At 42.2% G+C, this 17,206-nt stretch overlaps 1 pseudogene across 1 annotated transcript in view, besides 2 other annotated features; it reads left to right on the forward strand.

Moving 5' to 3' along the window:
• The window catches only part of LOC100419170 (toll like receptor 2 pseudogene), a 41,019-nt pseudogene continuing 27,269 nt past the window's right edge, over nt 3,457-17,206 (forward strand). Inside the window, exons 1-2 of the transcript NR_134873.1 lie at nt 3,457-3,768; nt 4,264-4,306. The product of NR_134873.1 is annotated as a toll like receptor 2 pseudogene (transcript). The remainder of the gene's footprint in view (nt 3,769-4,263; nt 4,307-17,206) is intronic.
• Nucleotides 3,522-4,021: an enhancer, noted in NCBI's record as "H3K4me1 hESC enhancer chr4:154561385-154561884 (GRCh37/hg19 assembly coordinates)". NCBI's record gives its function as "activates a minimal SCP1, AML or CMV promoter by ChIP-STARR-seq in primed H9 embryonic stem cells {active_cell/tissue: H9 hESC(primed)}" and the evidence as "EXISTENCE:reporter gene assay evidence [ECO:0000049][PMID:30033119]".
• Nucleotides 6,904-6,973: a silencer, noted in NCBI's record as "silent region_15765". NCBI's record gives its function as "represses an Ori minimal core promoter by ATAC-STARR-seq in GM12878 lymphoblastoid cells {active_cell/tissue: GM12878}" and the evidence as "EXISTENCE:reporter gene assay evidence [ECO:0000049][PMID:35858748]".

Genomic DNA, 17,206 nt, shown 5'->3' on the forward strand with positions numbered 1-17,206 from the left:
TCTGGGTGCTCTGTTTTTTTTAACTCTTCATAAATCAGTGGTAAAAACAAAGCATCCATATGTCAGAACTTTCAAAAGTCAAGAAGTGTGTCAGGCATGCCGAATGTTTTAAATCTGAACACGGGAGACGTCTTTTTTTTTTTTTTTTTTTTTTTTTTGAGACAGAGTCTCGCTCTGTCGCCCAGGCTAGAGTGCAGTGGTGCGATCTTGGCTCACTGCAACCTCTGCCTCCTGGGTTCAAGCAATTCTCCTGCCTCAGCCTCCTGAGTAGCTGGGATTACAGGCGCACGTGTGCCACCACGTCCAGTTAATAGAGATTTTCAGTAGAGACGAGGTTTCACCCTGTTGGTCAGGCTGGTCTCGAACTCCTGAACAAGGGAGACTTCTAAGAAGGTAGGAGTTGAGCAAGAAATGGCTGCTATGGTTTTCCTCCTCCTGAGCATCACAACCATCTGGGGAGCTTTCAAAAAATGAAGTTGCTCAGCCGTTGAGAACTGCTGGAAAGCCCAGCTTAACAAGTTGTTTGCTTGGGTGGACTCTGCTTGGGGGTGCAGCGGGGGGTTCTTTCCAGTCCTGGTGTGTTGCTGGGATGAAGCAGAGAGCCCTAGAACTGTTCTCTCCATCCCACTTACGGCAAGGGCTGTTCCTCTGTCAGGCCAGTCCTTGGGGGCAATGACAGCAGCAGGAACATTCTGGTAAGTGTGTGGTTTCCCTCCCAGTGAGCAGGCTAACCCTGAGTATAGGAACTTAGGGGAGGTTAGGTGGCTGATGCATGTTTTCCAGACCGGTTTGTATCTGCTTGTCATTGATCTTAGAAGTTCATATTATGGTGGAATTATCTATTTGCATGTGTAAACTTTGAATATGTTTTTAACTTTTAATAAAAAGTTATTTTTACATTTTGTTTTGTCTTTATATTAGAAATTCAGTAGGCGTGATTTGTGAGTGGAATGCAGGGTTTGCTTGCTTTGAATTTATTTCTCTTTGCTGTGGTTGTGTGGAGGCCTGAGACAAGTGTCTTGTAAGCTTGGGGGGCTGCCCTGCACGGAGAGCCTCCAGGCATGCACTGCCTCTAGAAAGTCCCAAGGTTGCCAGGTTAGAATCCTGATCTGCGTGAAGCAGACACTTCCCTCCCCGACCCCCAGTATTGAATAACATTAAAAATAATTATGTTCTAGGCATATAGCCAAAAGAAAGCAAGGATTAGACATATTTTCACACCCAGGTTGATGGCAGCGTTATTCACAATAGGCAAAAGGTGGAAACAGCCCAGATATCCATTAACACATAATGAACAAAAGTGTAATGTGTCCATACAAAGGAGTATCATTCTGCCCTAAAAGAGAATGAAATTCTGATACATGCTATACTATGGATGAACCTTGAAAACATTATGTAAGTGTAATAAGCCAGACACAAAAGGACAAATAATATGTGATCCCACTTCTATGAGGGATCTAAAGTCAAATTCAGAGACAAAGAACAGTGGTGGGCAGGGGCTGGGGGAAGAGGGAACAGGGAGTTACCGCTCGATGAGTGCGGAGTGTGTTTGAGATAATACGAAGTTCTGCGGATGAATGGTGGTGATGTCTCCCATTCCTACTAGAGAGAATGAGACATTAGATGTTATTCTGCTTCGGTGCTATTGTTCTAATTTATTTTTCTACGTTCATCGATCCTCATTTCCCTATCAGGAAAATATGAGAAAGCAAAATAAGATTTTATTGCACTATATATACAAAGGAAAACACAAATACCCACTTTTATTGGAATATTATCTTTAGCCCTAAGACTAAATACGGAAACTGGAAGTTTTTTTATTGAAAAACATTTACTGGGTACCTCCTAGGAGCTGTCCCCGGGACCTTGGATACAGCAGAGAGCAAGACAGACACGGTCCTGCTGCCAGGTCACATTCCAGAAGGGGAAGGTTAGGGAGGAAAAGGTTCAAACAATATTTCAGGTACTGATGTGTGCTGTGAGAGCAACAAAATGGTGATGTGACGAACTGGGGGAGGTGGCAGCCGGTCCTTCTGAGTGGTCGGGGAAAGTTTGTGAAGAGGTACATTTGAGGTAAAACTTGAATAAGAAGAAAGCCAGAGGCCAGGCATGGTGGTTCACGCCTGTAATCCCAGCACTTTGGGGAGGGCAAGGCGCACAGATCACCTGAGGTCAGGAGTTTGAGACCAGCCTGGCCAACATGGTGAAACCCTTTCTCTACTAAAAATTCAGAAATCAGCTGGGCGTGGTGGCAGGCACCTGTAATCTCAGCTACTCGGGAGGCTGAGGCAGGAGAATTGCTTGAACCCAGGAGGCAGATGTTGCAGTGAGCCGAAACAGCAACACTGCACTCCACCCCGGGCGACAGAGCAAGACTATCTCAAAAAAAAAAAAAAAAAAAAAAGGCAGTGTGCCAAGATCCCTGGGCAAATCTTCCCTGCAGAGCAAACAGCAAGTGCAAAGGTCCTGAGGCAGGAGGCCACAGTGGAAGGAGGTGAGGCTGAACAGGCAGGCAGAGGCCACCTTTATAAAGCCTTGTAGCCACCAAAAAGAGGATAGGTTTTACTCAAAGTGCAATTAGGAGCCATTGGAGCATTTTCTATTTTTTGAGACAGGATCTCACACTGTCACCCAGGCTGGAGTGCAGTGGCACAATCATGGCTCACTGCATCCTTGAGCTCCTGGGCTCAAACGATCTTTCCACCTCAGACCCTGAGAATAGCTGGGACTACAGGTGTGCACCAACCATGCCCAGCTAAGAGACTGGGTTTTACCAAGTTGTTCAGGCTGGTCTTGAACTCCTGGCCTCAAGCGATCAGCCCGCCTTGGCCTCCCAAAGTGCTGGGATTACAGGTGTGAGCTATTGAGCCCAGCCCATTGGAGCTTTTTAAGTGAGAAAGAACGTTATCTGACTTAAATTTTTTGAAAATCAGCTGGCGGTTGAGTGGAGAAAGGATTCTGGGAGTTCAGGAGTAACGTAACACCAAATCAAGGTCAGCTGCAACTGTGGAGATGATGGAGGTTGGGCTTGTTATATGTGCACATTCAGGCTGGCGGGGTGGGGTTGACGGGGAGTAGGAAGGCAAGAAATTCTGGTTGGGCCTTGAGACCTGGGTCCCGGACTGAGAGGAAGCTCTTATGGTTAGGATCTGGTGGGAGGCAGGGGATGGAGAATTGTGGCTGGACATGTTCCGTGTGAAAGGCCCAGCATATCCATGTGGATAGGCAGTCAGGCAGTCCACCCACAAACCTGAAGCTCTGTGAAGTTCCGGGCTGGAGACATCAATGGGGCGCCTTTGGTCTGTTGACAGTGTCTAAAGCGAGGGTGGGAGGGAGCCTCTTGGGGAGGAGCATTTGGGGGCCCAGTGTTGAGAGGCGGGGCAGGAGAGGCAGCTGCGGGAATTAGGAAGGAAGGCTCGCTGATGAGGGAGCAGAAGCCATGAAGGGGAGGGAGAGGTCACATGTGTCGGTGCCACAGACTGAGTCACGTGGACAAGGAGCGGGTGTGCATGCTGGGGTGGTGTCGGCGGCTGGCGTCCTTGCAGCCAGCCCAGCTAGAGTAAGTGGAAGAGAGGACAGAAGGTGAGATGGATGCAGAGGCGGCCAACTGTAAAGGGGAGCTGAAAAGGTCAGTCGCCGGAGGGGATGTGAAGCTGGCAGTAGGAGACTGCTAGGCGCCAGGAACCAAGGCTCAAGCTTAGGTCTAAGCATGAACTGGAGCAGGAACGCTTCGCCCTTTGGAATGTGTGTGGACAAGAATGTGAGCAGGTGGGTTTCATGATGGGAAGAGACGCTTTAGCTGCGTGCCTGCTTCTCAGCTTGCAGACTATTTTTCTGCCTCCCCTGTACCCAGGTGGGACTGCGTTGCATGTGAGCAGAAGTGATAGGTCAACTCTAAGGAAGGGGTGTGCCCTTCCCTTTCCCTCTATCCACTGGGAGAAATACTCAGTAGACTGGGGGCTGATGAGGACAGCACACTAGGGCCTTGCTAAAAGAGTGGTCTGTCCACTGCTTTGACTTCATCCCAGGGCTTGTTAGAAATGCAGATTTACTGCACCTGAATTCTCATTTCGTCAAGTTCCTCAGGTGATTTGTATGCACATCAAAGCCTAAGGAGCACTGCTATAGGGGAAGGATCAGCAGATTATGGCCTGTGGCCTGCTTTTTGAATAAAATTGTATTAGAACACAAACACTCAGTTACCTGCAAATACAGAGTTTTGGCAGGCACAGCCTAAAATAATTACTCTCTGGCCCTTTACAGAAAGTTTGCCGACCCCTGCTCCAGGTTAGAGAAGAGCAACAAGGTAAGTACCTGGGCCTTCTAAACCAGAGAGGCCCTTGCCATTCTAAGCCCTGGGCTCCTGCCCCGGGGACTGTGAAATGGAAGAGAAATAGATTGTCTTGTTTGAACTACTGTTGGGGATCTGTGTTGCAGTATCACAACTAATACAGCCTTGTCTGCTTGTCTGAGTGTTGTCTCTAGTACTCATGGTGGTATCTGGTGTACAGTAGTGTGTGTGAAGGAAAAAGTATGGGGAAGGATACAATTACCCAGTGGTTAAAGAAACGAGTCGTTTTTTCTGAGACAGAGTCTCACTCTGTTGCCCAGGGTGGAGTGTAGTGGTGTGATCATGGCTCACTGCAGCCTCCAACTCCTGGGCTTAAGTGATCTTCCCATCTCAGCCTCCCAAGTAGCTGGGATTACAGGTGCAAGCCATCACGTCCGGCTAATTTTTTATTTCTGTATTTTTTGTAGAGACGGGGTTTTGCCATGTTGCCAGGCTGGTCTTGAACTCCTGGGCTCAAGTGATCTGCCCTCCTCACCCTCTCAGAGTGTTGGGATTACGGGCGTGAGCCACCTTGCCCGGCCAGAAGTGAGTTTTAATTACTAGAGAATATTTCAATTATCCTATGGTTGTGAGACGAAGTACCACAGGCAAAGACAGGACTACAGTCCTTACAATGTGAACTTTCACACACCAGTCACCATGTATAGACATCCACGTGATGATTATTACACACTGGATTATGCTCATGCTGGGGGAAATGAGAACCACCTGAGTAATAAAGGAGGCGGGGAGAAAAACCACTGCTGGTTTCTAGAACTTTCCATTTTAGTAGAGGCTCCATTAAACAGCATATTCTTTGGGGCCAGGCTGCCTGGATTCTAACTCCAGCTTCACCACATACTTAACCTCTCCGTGCCTCAGTTTCCTCTTCTGTAAAACGGGGATGATAATAGCAACATACCTCATGCAGTTGTGAAGTTTAATGAATTAGCGTTTGGATGGTGTTTGGCACATAGCACCCCTAATTGACTACTCTTATTGAAACTGACCAAATTTTCCCACAAGCGGGGTGCCCATAGAACTGAAGCTTGAGAACTTACAGTGAAACGCACTGCTACCTGCTGACCGACTCCTCTTCCTTACCCCTCTCTAATTCCCATTTCCCCACAGTGGTTACAATGAGACACTAGACTCCTCATTCAACTGTCTGCTCCCTTGCCCCGCCTGTTTTCCTTCCTTGCTATATAAATCCTTAACTTTAGGCTTGGGGAAGGAACGGATTGGAGGTTTGGCTTCTGTTTCTTCGGCTGACATCACCCGTAATGCAATAAAGGCTTCTTCCCTGGCAACGCTTGTCATCTTAGCGATTGCCTCTCTGGTGAGCAATGGGGCCTAGACTGAACTGGTGTTTCGGTAACATTATTGTTCCATAAAATTGCTATGGTCAATTTAAATGAAAGAACATGAAACAACAGGAAAAATATAAAATTGGGCCTCAGTACTGGTGGGGGCAAGTGAGGCAGGCACTTTTATACATTGTGGGATGGGATTATAAATTGGTTGGCCATATATGTCATGCACCTTAAGAACTTCCAGGAAGTAACTTCTAAGGAAAATAGCAAAAGATATGCACAACAATTAGGTATTAGTGTTTTTTTAAATGCATTCATTATTGTAACTAACTTTCTCCCAAAATAGATTTATAGCATTTAATAATTAAAACACATACAACCAAAACATTGGGTAGATATAAACATATTTAAAAAATTACTAGTAAGTATGAAAATCAAAAACACAATTCCTAAGGTGGTGTTTTATTTTCCCTCCATTACTGGCTCTTTCCCCATTTGGAAGCTTCCTTCATGTTTTTTGAAGCTGAGCAAGGATGACATGACTCATGTCATGTATATTATACAATGTAAAGAACAAAACTGGCTGTGCGGTAGCTCACACCTATAATTCCAGTGATTTGGGAGGCCATGGTGGGAGGATAACTTGAGGCCAGGAGTTTGAGACCAGTCTGGGCAACAAAGTGAGACCCTATCTCTTTAAAAAAAAAAAAAAAAAAAAAAAGGAAACTAAAACAAGGCCACATTGATACATTGATTGGGCACTCTGGACAGAAAAAAAGTGATTGTACTGATGTGTAATTGATAGGTATGCTTGATAAAAAAAAAAAAGGATTCCATTTTTCATGACTTTTTAATGCGCTACATGATTCTGTGCATGACTTTCAGAGCACAATGATCATGTCTACTTGATTTCCTTCAAAAATTAAAAGAAAAATCTTTTACTTGAGAGGGTGAGGTGGGAGGATTGCTTGAGGCCAGGAGTTGGAGACCAGCCTGGGCAACATAGGGAGACTTTGTCTCTACAAAAAAATATAAATAAAAAATAAAAAGAGAAAGCTCCTAAGACTTCACTCAGTAGGTTATCCTACTAAAATAACTGGTTACTGATGGTTTCATGCAGTTCACAAAATTAACTGATGATTTTAGTTGCAGCTTTTATCTTCCTGACTTCTGCCACTCATGTCTCTGCTTTCACTTCCTGTATCCGCAATCTGACTGTGATATGTGATTATTAAAGGTATAGTCTATGTTGCCCCCTAGTGATTAATATGAACATAGGAAAAGTCCTGTAGACTTGCTCAGCTATTCAGAGCTGTGGATATGCTTCTTATCATGCAGAATCTACCTACTACTTTCCATCATTTTATTGTTTAAGTCCTTTAATAGCGTCAATTTTTACATTTTATTATGTTATTACACAAGTCCAAGCTAAACTGTTTATTCTATATAAAAGACAAGCAAAAACCAAGAAAACATTATAATCAATAAAATATTATCAAACAAGAAAAAGAAATACACCTCCTTTTAAAATTTATTTCTAACTCTATTTTTGTGGAGTGCTTTTAACCAGAGAAATAATTAACCTAAATGCATGGTCTATTAAAAGTTAATCGACCAGGCATGGTGGCTCACGCTTGTAATTCCAGCACTTTGGGAGGCTAAGGCGGGCAGATCACTTGAGGTCAGGAGTTTGAGACCCTCCTGGACAACATAGTGAAACCTCGTCTGTACTAAAATACAAAACTTAGCTGGCTGTGGTGGTGCATGCCTGTAATCCCAGCTACTCGGGAAGCTGAAGCAGGAGAATTGCTTCAACCCGGAAGGCAGAGGTTGCAGTTGGCCAAGATTGCGCCATTGCACTCCAGCTTGGGTGACAGAGTGAGACTCCATCTCAAAAAAAAAAGAAAAGAAAAGAAAAAATCACTTTTCTTACTTTAGTATTTCCTGAATATAAAGAATGACAGGCAGGATTGAATACCTTGTGAAAAAGTCTGAGATAATGCACAGTGATGCTGTCTATGTATTAAGTCTTGTGAGGCCTTCATCTATAAGTTTTTCCTTACCCCTTTGGTGGGCCCCCTCAGCCCAGCTTTTTTTTTTTTTAAAGGACAGGGTCTCACTCTGTTGCCTAGGCTGGAGTGCAGCAGCACAATTTTGGCTCACTGCAGACTCAACCTCCAGGGCTCGAGTAATCCTCCCACCTCAGCCTCCCAAGTAGCTGGGATCACAAGAATGTGCCACCACACCCAGCTAATTCCTTATTTCTTATAGAGACAGAGTCTTACTATATTGCCTAGGCTGGTCTCAAATTCCTGGGCTCAAGTGATCTTCCCACCTCAGCCTCTGAGTAGCTAGGACTACAGGCATGCACCACCATACTCGGCTAATTTTTGTATTCTTACTGTAGAGACATGGGGTCTCACTTTGTTGCCTAGGTTGGTCTTGAACTCCTGGGCTCGAGTGATTCTCCTGCCTTGGCCTCCCAAAGTGCTGGGATTACAGGCTTGAGCTATGTGCCCAACCTCCTTTGATTTTTTGTTTTTCTTCTGTTTGCTTTACTCATAGGAAAAAACATATACATTTATAAATCCTGATTCAAAGACTACTTTTGTGTGAGGGTATTGAGTTTGCTTTTTTTTCTCCTTTCATCTAGGTCATGTGGCCTTTGGGAGATATGTGTGTGTGTGAGGGGTAGGATGTGTGTTTAATTTTTTAAATTTATATTTTGGTGCTGTATGTTGTGAAAGATTTGCTCATAGTGGATCAATGAACCATCTTTTCTAGGCAGTTTTGTTGAAAATGAAGGTTTCTCTTTGATTTCAAGAATGACCAAATTAAAAAACAAAAACAAGGTATTAATTTTCTATTGCTACCATAAAAAATTCTCACAAACTTAGTGGCTTAAAACAACACAAACTTAGTTTTGTATATCAGAAATCTGACACCTATCTCCCTGGGCTAAAATCAAGCTGTGGCAGGGCTGCATTCCTTTCTGGAGGCTCTAGGGGGCAGTCTGTTTCTGTCCTGGCCTTTTCTAGCTCCTAGAGGCCATCCACATTCCTTGGCTTGTGGCCTCTTCCTCTGTTGTCAGAGCCAGGAACGCAGCATCTCCCTGACCTTTCTTCCATCTCACATCCTTTTCTCTGACCACAGCTGGGAAAGGTTCACTTATTTTAAGGACTCCTGTGATTAGACTGGGCCCATCTTAAGGTTCTTAATTTAATCACATATTTTATTATGTAGAGTCACATATTCAGGGGTTCCAGGTATTAGGATGTGGACCCCTTTGGGGCAGGAATTATAATTCTGCCTATTACAAATGATGTAAGAGCATATACAGTACAGTGTTTAAAATAGTAATGAGTTGGAAATAAATGTTCCAAAACAGGAAAATACTTAAGTTATAGAACAAACAAATGTTGGAGTACTAGGAAGCCTCTAAAAATCATTGTAAGAGAATAACATAGGCGATGAAAGAAGTAGAATACAAAGTTTATAAACAGTGTGATCCTGTACTGCATGTGGGGTGGGGTGATGCCCCACTGGGTGTGTAGAATTTTGAGTGATTTTCATTTTCTTTTTTTTTTTATCTTTCTTTTCTGGGGAGGGGGGGTACTGTCTGCTGTAAGCATGTGTTACTACTATCACATCCATCTCCCCCAAAACTTTTAATTAAATCTTAAGGGAAAGTGTATTTTATTTAATAGTGGTAAAAAGTAAGTATCTTAAAAGCAAATGCTAAAGTCCTGATAAAATGTACATTATACTATAAAAGGACATAATCTAAAGGCAAAGGCAAAGGGAAACTTTCAGTAAGCATTCCCTAATAGAAGACCTATAAAATGAGGTATGTAGTAATTACTTGGGCTGGGATTAAAGGGACATAAGAATGTCTTTACATACAAGTATAGCCAATATACAAAATGCACAACAGTCTAGTTACCATTAATCAAAATGGTGGGCAAGTACTATAAAAGTCACCATTAAAATACAGCCTTATTAAAATACATATATTTATGGAAACGAAAACTGACATTTCAAAATAATTATTTCTGTGTGCCCTAGACATTTGAGCAATTTAATACTTCTGCTGGAGTACAGAGAGGAAGTCAGTAAGATGGAATGTATTTGGATTTCAAGCAGTTATTTTTAAAGGAAAGCTATTACTTTAGAAACTAAAAGCAAAACAGAAAACAAAAACTTTAACCAGTATCCTTTCATCTAGCTAATTAGATGTTTGTTCATTCACTATAGATATAGAATTTATTTAAAACCTCAAAATGATTGAAGTAACAGACTCAGCACTGTGACTTTGGGATTGAGTAGGCTATAAGAGTGGGGTGAAATATGACCATTCATTCTATAATTCAATATTAAAACAAATTCCTGCAACCAAAGAAATAGTAGTACTGGGTTAGGCCAGGTTCCCAAGTTCATTGTGTATTCTAGATCTATAGTGCTAATAAAGAGAAGACAATAACTTGTTTGCCTACCTTATTTCATTGTTAAAAAAAATCACTAGGTCAAAATAATGGGTCAAGTTGTTGATTGAAAAACCCAGAATTGCTTTTGTATTTGCTGGGATAAGCTAGATGTCTTAGTTCATTTTGTGCTGCTATAACAGAATACCACAGACTGACTAACTTCTAAAAAACAGAAATTTTCTTGCAGTTCTGGAGACTGAGAAGTCCAAGATCAAGGCACTCTCATCTGGTGAGGGCCTTCTTGCTGTCTCATCACATGGCAGAAGGCAGAAGGGCAAGAGCACAAGAGAGAGAACCCATTCCAGAGAGTGCTTTTCATAATGGCATTAATCTATTCTTAAGGGCGGAGCCCTCATGGCCTAAACACCTCCCATTAGACCTCACTTCCCAGTGCTGTTGCATTTGGGATTCAGTCTCTAACACATGAATATCTGGGAGACACATTCAAACTATGGCACTAGGTTATGCTGTAGTAACAACTTATTCCCTTAACAGGCACAGATGATGGTCCAGGGCAACTGTCCCCTGGTGTGAATCAGCAATTCAGGTCACTTGACTCTTGTGACTGTGGCATCACAGGGAGACAAGAGGTCTCCCTGTTTTCAACTACAGCAGAAAGCACGAGGAGTATGCAGCCCACCTATTCTATGCTTGGCCCAGTGGTGATACACAGTACCTCTCTTCTGCTTACAGCACATTGGCCTGAAATGGTCGTGTGGTCCCACTCAAGGGGGAAGGAGGCTGGGAAATGGAAGCTTCTATGTGTCCTGAAAAGAAATTATAGGCATACTGCTGAGTGCTACTTATGTTTAAACACACCTATACAATTTTGGAGAAGCTTTCCTTTATTTTTTATCCAGTTGGAAAGACTCTGTTCTCTAAACTTCAGAGCTGCAGGTAGGACCTGGTCCTCATTCTAGAGAAAGTAGCTCTGCAGTCCCAGCAGAAAGAAGCCTGACTTGAAGCTCCACCACTTTGGCTATCTGTTGGGTGTTCTTCAAAAGTGAGTGCCAATTCACTGTAGTACCCGGCACTTGGTCTTCCATGCTTTCATTATTAGGGAAACTAGATTTGTAGCACAGCTACTGGAGAGTACTAGGATCCTAGTAAGCTGGCTTTACAAACATGGTGTGTACTGCCTATTTTTGCTTTTATTTCAGAGAAAATAAAACGTAAGATAATAGGAACAAATACATGTGAACTGCTGGACGGCTATTCAAAAATAGTTTGCCAGAGTAACTGGTAAGCCTGAAATCTGTGTAGCCATGAAAGGGCTCATCATCGGCTTAATTCTGAAGCAAAACTTGGTGAAACACGTGGTGGTTATCTTGGAGGTAAAATGCTGGCTTCCCAGTGGGAAGTGAAAGTGTCAATCAGGTTGTGTTGGGAGATGTGATAAAGGCTGAGGCAGTCTTGCAGCTCATGATTTTATGCAGGGGCTAAGATGAGAAGGATGTTCAAAAAAACCAGGGGATGTTATTCTAGCTTTTGAGCATGAGACAGCCTCAAAGCACTGGGAAAGCTGGATGCTAGCAGGAGGCAGTAGAAATGCAAGTGTGAGAAAAATAAAGGCTGGGCTGGCGTGCTGGCAGGAAATGGATTCGAAAGGCAGGTCTGATAAATGTTTCAGAAAAAGAGAGCTGTCAGGATGAGGTAGAGTGAGCTTGGCAGCCTGGGAGTTGGCATGCCATTGATGGTCAAGACCAAATGCTGTTTCTCCTATCCAGCCAGAAATTTTGCTTTAGAAATGACACTAGGGCTTTGCTCTCAACAACCACTGTCCTCTCTCTCATTCTCCCTCTCACTGGGTTACCTCCTCCTTGTCAGTGACTTCTTCTGTGATACTGACTCTTCCATCCATCATGGGTTTTTTCTCTGATTTTTAAGAATAAGTGGAAATTCCTATATTGTTTGTTCTTTCAATTGTAGAAAATATTGAAAACCAAAAGGAAATAATTTAAAAACACTGTAATTGCACTACGAAGAAGCACTTAGTTTGGTATACAGCCATGTGTTGCTTAATGGTGGGGATATATTTTGAGAAATGTTTTATTAGGTGACTTCATCACTGTACAGATATCATAGAGTACTTACACAAACCCAGATTGTATAGCTGACTACACACCTGTGATATATGGTATAGCTGAGTGCTCCTAGTCTGCAAACCTGTATAGCATGTTACTGTACTGAATAAGGCAGGAAATTGTAACACAATGGGAATCATTTGTTTATTTAAATATATCAAAACATAAAAAGGTACAGTAAAAATGCAATATAAAAGATAAAAAATGGTAGGTACCCGTGTAGGGCACCTACCATGAATAGAGCTTGCAGGACTGGAAGTTGCTCTGGGTGAGTCAGTGAGTGGTAAATGGATGTGAAGGCCTAGGACACGGCTGCACACTACTGTACAATTCGTAAGCACTACACTTAGGCACACTAAATTTATAAAAAATATTTTTCTTTAATAGGAAATTAAACTTAGCTTACTGTAATTTGTTACTTTATGAACTTTTTAACTTTTAACAACTTTTAGATTGTTTTTAAGCAACATTTAGCTTAAAACACAAACTCACGTACAGCTGGACAAAAATATTTTCTTTTTAAATATCCTTACTCTATAAGCTTTTTTCATTAAAAAATTATTTTTACTTTTAATTTTTTTTTGTTAAAAACAAAGACACAAATATACACATTAGCCTGGGTCTACACAGGGTCAGGATCATCAATATCACTGTCTTCCACCTCCACATCTTATCCTGCTCGAAGGTGTTCAGGGGCAATAACACGCACGGAGCTGTCATCTCCTATGATAACAGTGCCCTCTTCTGGAGTACCTCCTCAAGGAACTGCCTGAGGCTATTTTAGAGTTAACTTAAAAAAAATAAGTAGGAGTACACTCTAACAATAAAAAGTATGTAAATACATAAACCCAGTAATAGTCTATTATGATTAAGTGTTATGTACTATACATAAATATATATGCTATACTATTGTAAGACTGGCAGTGCAGTAGGATTGTTTACGTACAGCGTCACCACAAACATGAGCAATGCATTGTGCTACAACGTTCTGATGGCTATGACATCATTAGGTGATAGGAATTTTTCAGTTTTGTTATGATCTTATGGAACAACTGTTGTATCTGTGGTCCATTGTTGGCCAAAGTGTCATCAGGAGTTGCATGACTGTATCTCCTTCCAGACTTGTGTTTATGTGTGTGCTTTTACAAAAATGGAATATATACACTATTCTAGGAACTCCTTTTCTCATTTAATATTCTGTGAAAAGCTAGACTTATTTATGAATGCTTATGAGATGTTTTACTGGCATTTCACACTCAATGTGACAACACCATCCTTATCATTTCTAACCTATACCTCATTTTTTTCATTTTTCATTTCATTAACTTTTTCAACATCTTTTGAGCCCACAGTAGGGGTCTAACCACTTGATAATTGTCTTAGTTTATTTTCTGTTGCTATAACAGAATACCATGGACTGGGTAGTTTATAAAGAAAAGAAGTTTATTTAGCTCATGGTTCTGGAGGCTAGGAAGTCCAAGAGCATGGCACCACCGGCATCTAGTGTGGGTCGTCCCATGGCAGAAGCGGGGAAGGACAGAAGGTGGAAGCAAGTGCACAAGACAGAGAGAAAATTGGGTAAAATTCATCCTTTTTATAAGGCGCCCACTCCTGTGATAACTAACCCACTTTATGATAATGACATTAATTCATTAATCCATATAATCACCTCTTAAAGTTCCCACCTCTCAACACTGTTACAATGGGGATTAAGTTTTCAACACAAATTTTTGGGAGGACACATTCAAACCATAGCAATGGTTAAAATTAAGCTCAGATACTCTCTTTTTTCCCTACCCTTCTCATATTTAATTGTCTCAAAATCACTCATTCATTCAATAAATATTTTTTTCATCTGTCCTTACATGGCCTGTGTGCAGCCTGTGCCCTCATGATTTTCTCATTCAGTGAAATTGAGCACCTACTATGTGCCAGACTTTGTTTTTGGCTCTGGGCATACCAAAGTGAACCAAATGGGGAAGGTACCTTCTATCATGGTGCTAGTATTCTAGAGGGGGAATAAATAATACATCAATATATTAGCTATCCATTATTGCGTAGCAAATTACCCCAAAACTTAGTGACTTACAATAATGACATTTACTATTTTACTGTGTTTGTGGGTTAGGAGTTGGGGCATGCTTTAGCAGGTCCTCTGCTTCAGGGTCTCTCACAGGCCGCACTCATCTCAAGGCTCAACTAGGGGAGAATTGGCTTTCAAAGTCATTCATGTGGTTGTTGGCAGGATTCCATTTCTTGCTGTGTTGGCTACAGGCTACTGCCAATCCTGGCCACATGCACCTCTCTGTTAGGGCAGCTCACAATAGGGCAGCTTGCTTCATCAGAGTAAGCAAGCAAGCAAGAGCCAGAGAGAGAGAGAGAACGAGAGGGAGAGTGCCGGTAAAACAAGAGTCATGGTCCTTTATGACCAATCTTGAAGTGACATCCCATCACTATACCATATCCTATTTGTTAGGAACAAGTCCCTAGGTGGCCCATTGAAGGGGAGGGTGTTACACAGGGTTTGAATACCAGGAAATGGGGATCATTGTGAGCCGTTTTAGAAGGCTGCCTCCCACAGTCAAGAAACAAGACAATTCCAGATCATACTCAGTGCTAGAGAGAAAATAGGACAGGGATAAGACGAAGAGCATCTGGGAGTGTTGGGGAGGTAGTCTTCATTGAGTGTTTAGAGAGGACCTCACTGAGGAGATAACAGTGAAGCAGAGAACTAAAGGGCAAGAAAGGGCCCACCCGGAAAGATTCAAGCCTTCCAGACAGAGGAAACAGAAAAGGCAAAGTGGCAGAATGAGCTCTGCCTGTTTGAGGAAGAGGGTGGAGCCCAGTGACATGGAGTGAATGAGCACGAAGGAAGTGGGCGCCTGCTGAGATGAGGCCCGGGTAATGAGTACATGAAGTGAATAGTGTCTGTGTTTTGAAATACTGAGTAACTTCCCTATGTCACAGCTTGTAAGTGACACAGCACACACAAGGATTTGAACCCGAGTCCATCTGATGCTAAAATCCATGTTTTTGCCACACTAGTGCCTTGCAGAATTTACTAGAAGGGGATGCTGCTGGGTGGTGGTCAGCCACTCCAGGTGCTCATGATGTAAGTAAGACTTTCAGGGCTAAAACCAGGATAGTCCTGAGGAAATTGGGATAGCTGGTCACCCACAAGACACGACAGGAACACTGAGTTCTCTGATGTGATATGAAACCCAGGATGAGCCGGCAGCCCTGAGTCAGCCTGATGAGAAGTCGGCTGTGCCTTTTGTTACCAAGAAAACAAAACTGTAGCATAACCCCACCTTGTTGTTAAAACAAAATGTTTACATTCTTCTGTTCTGCTTCGCTCAAGTCATTCCTGTGGGACAAGCCGACCTAACATACAGGTGTAGTCAGGGGCTAGGAGAGACCTAGGCAGGCCCTTGTCCATTCTCAGTCACTGAAGTGAGACCTAGGGACTCAGGAAGGACTCAGAGTTCCCTTAGTCATCATTCCCTCTGGGCATCCTGCTTTTGGCATAATTACTGATACGAGCACCTCGTGTCCCCTCCTGAATTATACCTACCCCCCCGCCTCCCCGCCCCCTGCAATTGCTTAGCACAGTATCTGGCCCATGGAAGTGACTTCATGGAAATTCAGCGGATGAATGACTGGACAATGAACAACGCACAGCAATGTGTGGTGTGACAGAAAAGGCTGCACCAGCAAAAATTGGAAGCTGATCTTTGGGTATTTCCTTGCCTTGGTCACTTTGCAATTTCCTGGGTGCTTGAAACAGGAAGTCAGTGACTCTAAGCCCCTGTGGGATCTGGCACCTCACATCAAGGTATCTGGAAAGTCCTTATTCTTCACTTCTCCATGCGATCCTACCCTACAGACCAGCCCTCCTTTTGGAATCTCTCCTGCTACACATTCTGTGACCCTGGGACTCTCTCTTATTTTATTTATTTATTTTTATATGCCCGTGTTTCCAAAGGAATAATAGGGCAGTTAAATATAGCTATGACTGTGCCTTTCCAGAGCCCAGAAAAGTCTGGAAAACTGGGAATATCCAAAGCTCAGGATGATATTGCGCACACAAAAAGTACTAGGCAGAGTAGTGTTTAGATAGAAACAGAGTAATGTTTAGATAGAAAGCAGACTCAGTCATATAAAATATATGCATATACAGCATGATCTGCATTTCTGTGATGCTTCTGAAGTACAGAAGCATTCAGCACTTCAGTAACTCTTATTGCAAGTTACCTCTTCAATCATTTTTCTTCAATCATTAAAATGCTTTAAAAAATTTTTTAGCTTATTGAGGTATGACTGACAAAAATTTTAATATATTTAAAGTGTACAACTTGTTTTGATATATGTATACATTGTGAAATGATTACCACAATCAAGCTAATAAACATGTCCATTATCTCACGTTACATTGTGTGAGAACACTTAAGATCTACTCTTAGCAAATACCAAGTATTTCGAGTATATCAAGTATGCAATATATTATTACTATACACTCACCATGCTGTACATTAGAGCTTCAGAACTTATTTATCTTATAACTGAAAGTTTGTACCCTTTGACCAATGTCCCCATTTCCACCATTCCTAGTGACCACTGTTCTACTCTGTTTTTATGAGTCTGGCTTTTTTTAGATTCCACATGTAAGTGAGATTATACAGTATTTGTCTTTCTGTGACTGGCTTATTTTACTTAGCATAATGTCCTGCTGGTTCATCCATGTTGTTGCAAATGGCAAGATTTCCTTATTTTTTTAAGGCTGAATACTATTTCATTGTGTAGTATACACCACATTTCTTTATCCATTCATTCATTGATGGACACTTACGTTGATTCCAAATTTTGGCTATTGTGAATAATGCTGCAATAAACATAGGAGTGTAGACAGCTCTTTGACATATTGATTTCATTTTCCCTGGGTATATGCCTAGAAGAGGGATTGCTGGATCATATGGTGGTTCTGGTTTTAATATT

This window comes from Homo sapiens, chromosome 4 (genome assembly GCF_000001405.40).
Source record: "Homo sapiens chromosome 4, GRCh38.p14 Primary Assembly".
Lineage (NCBI taxonomy): Eukaryota > Metazoa > Chordata > Mammalia > Primates > Hominidae > Homo > Homo sapiens.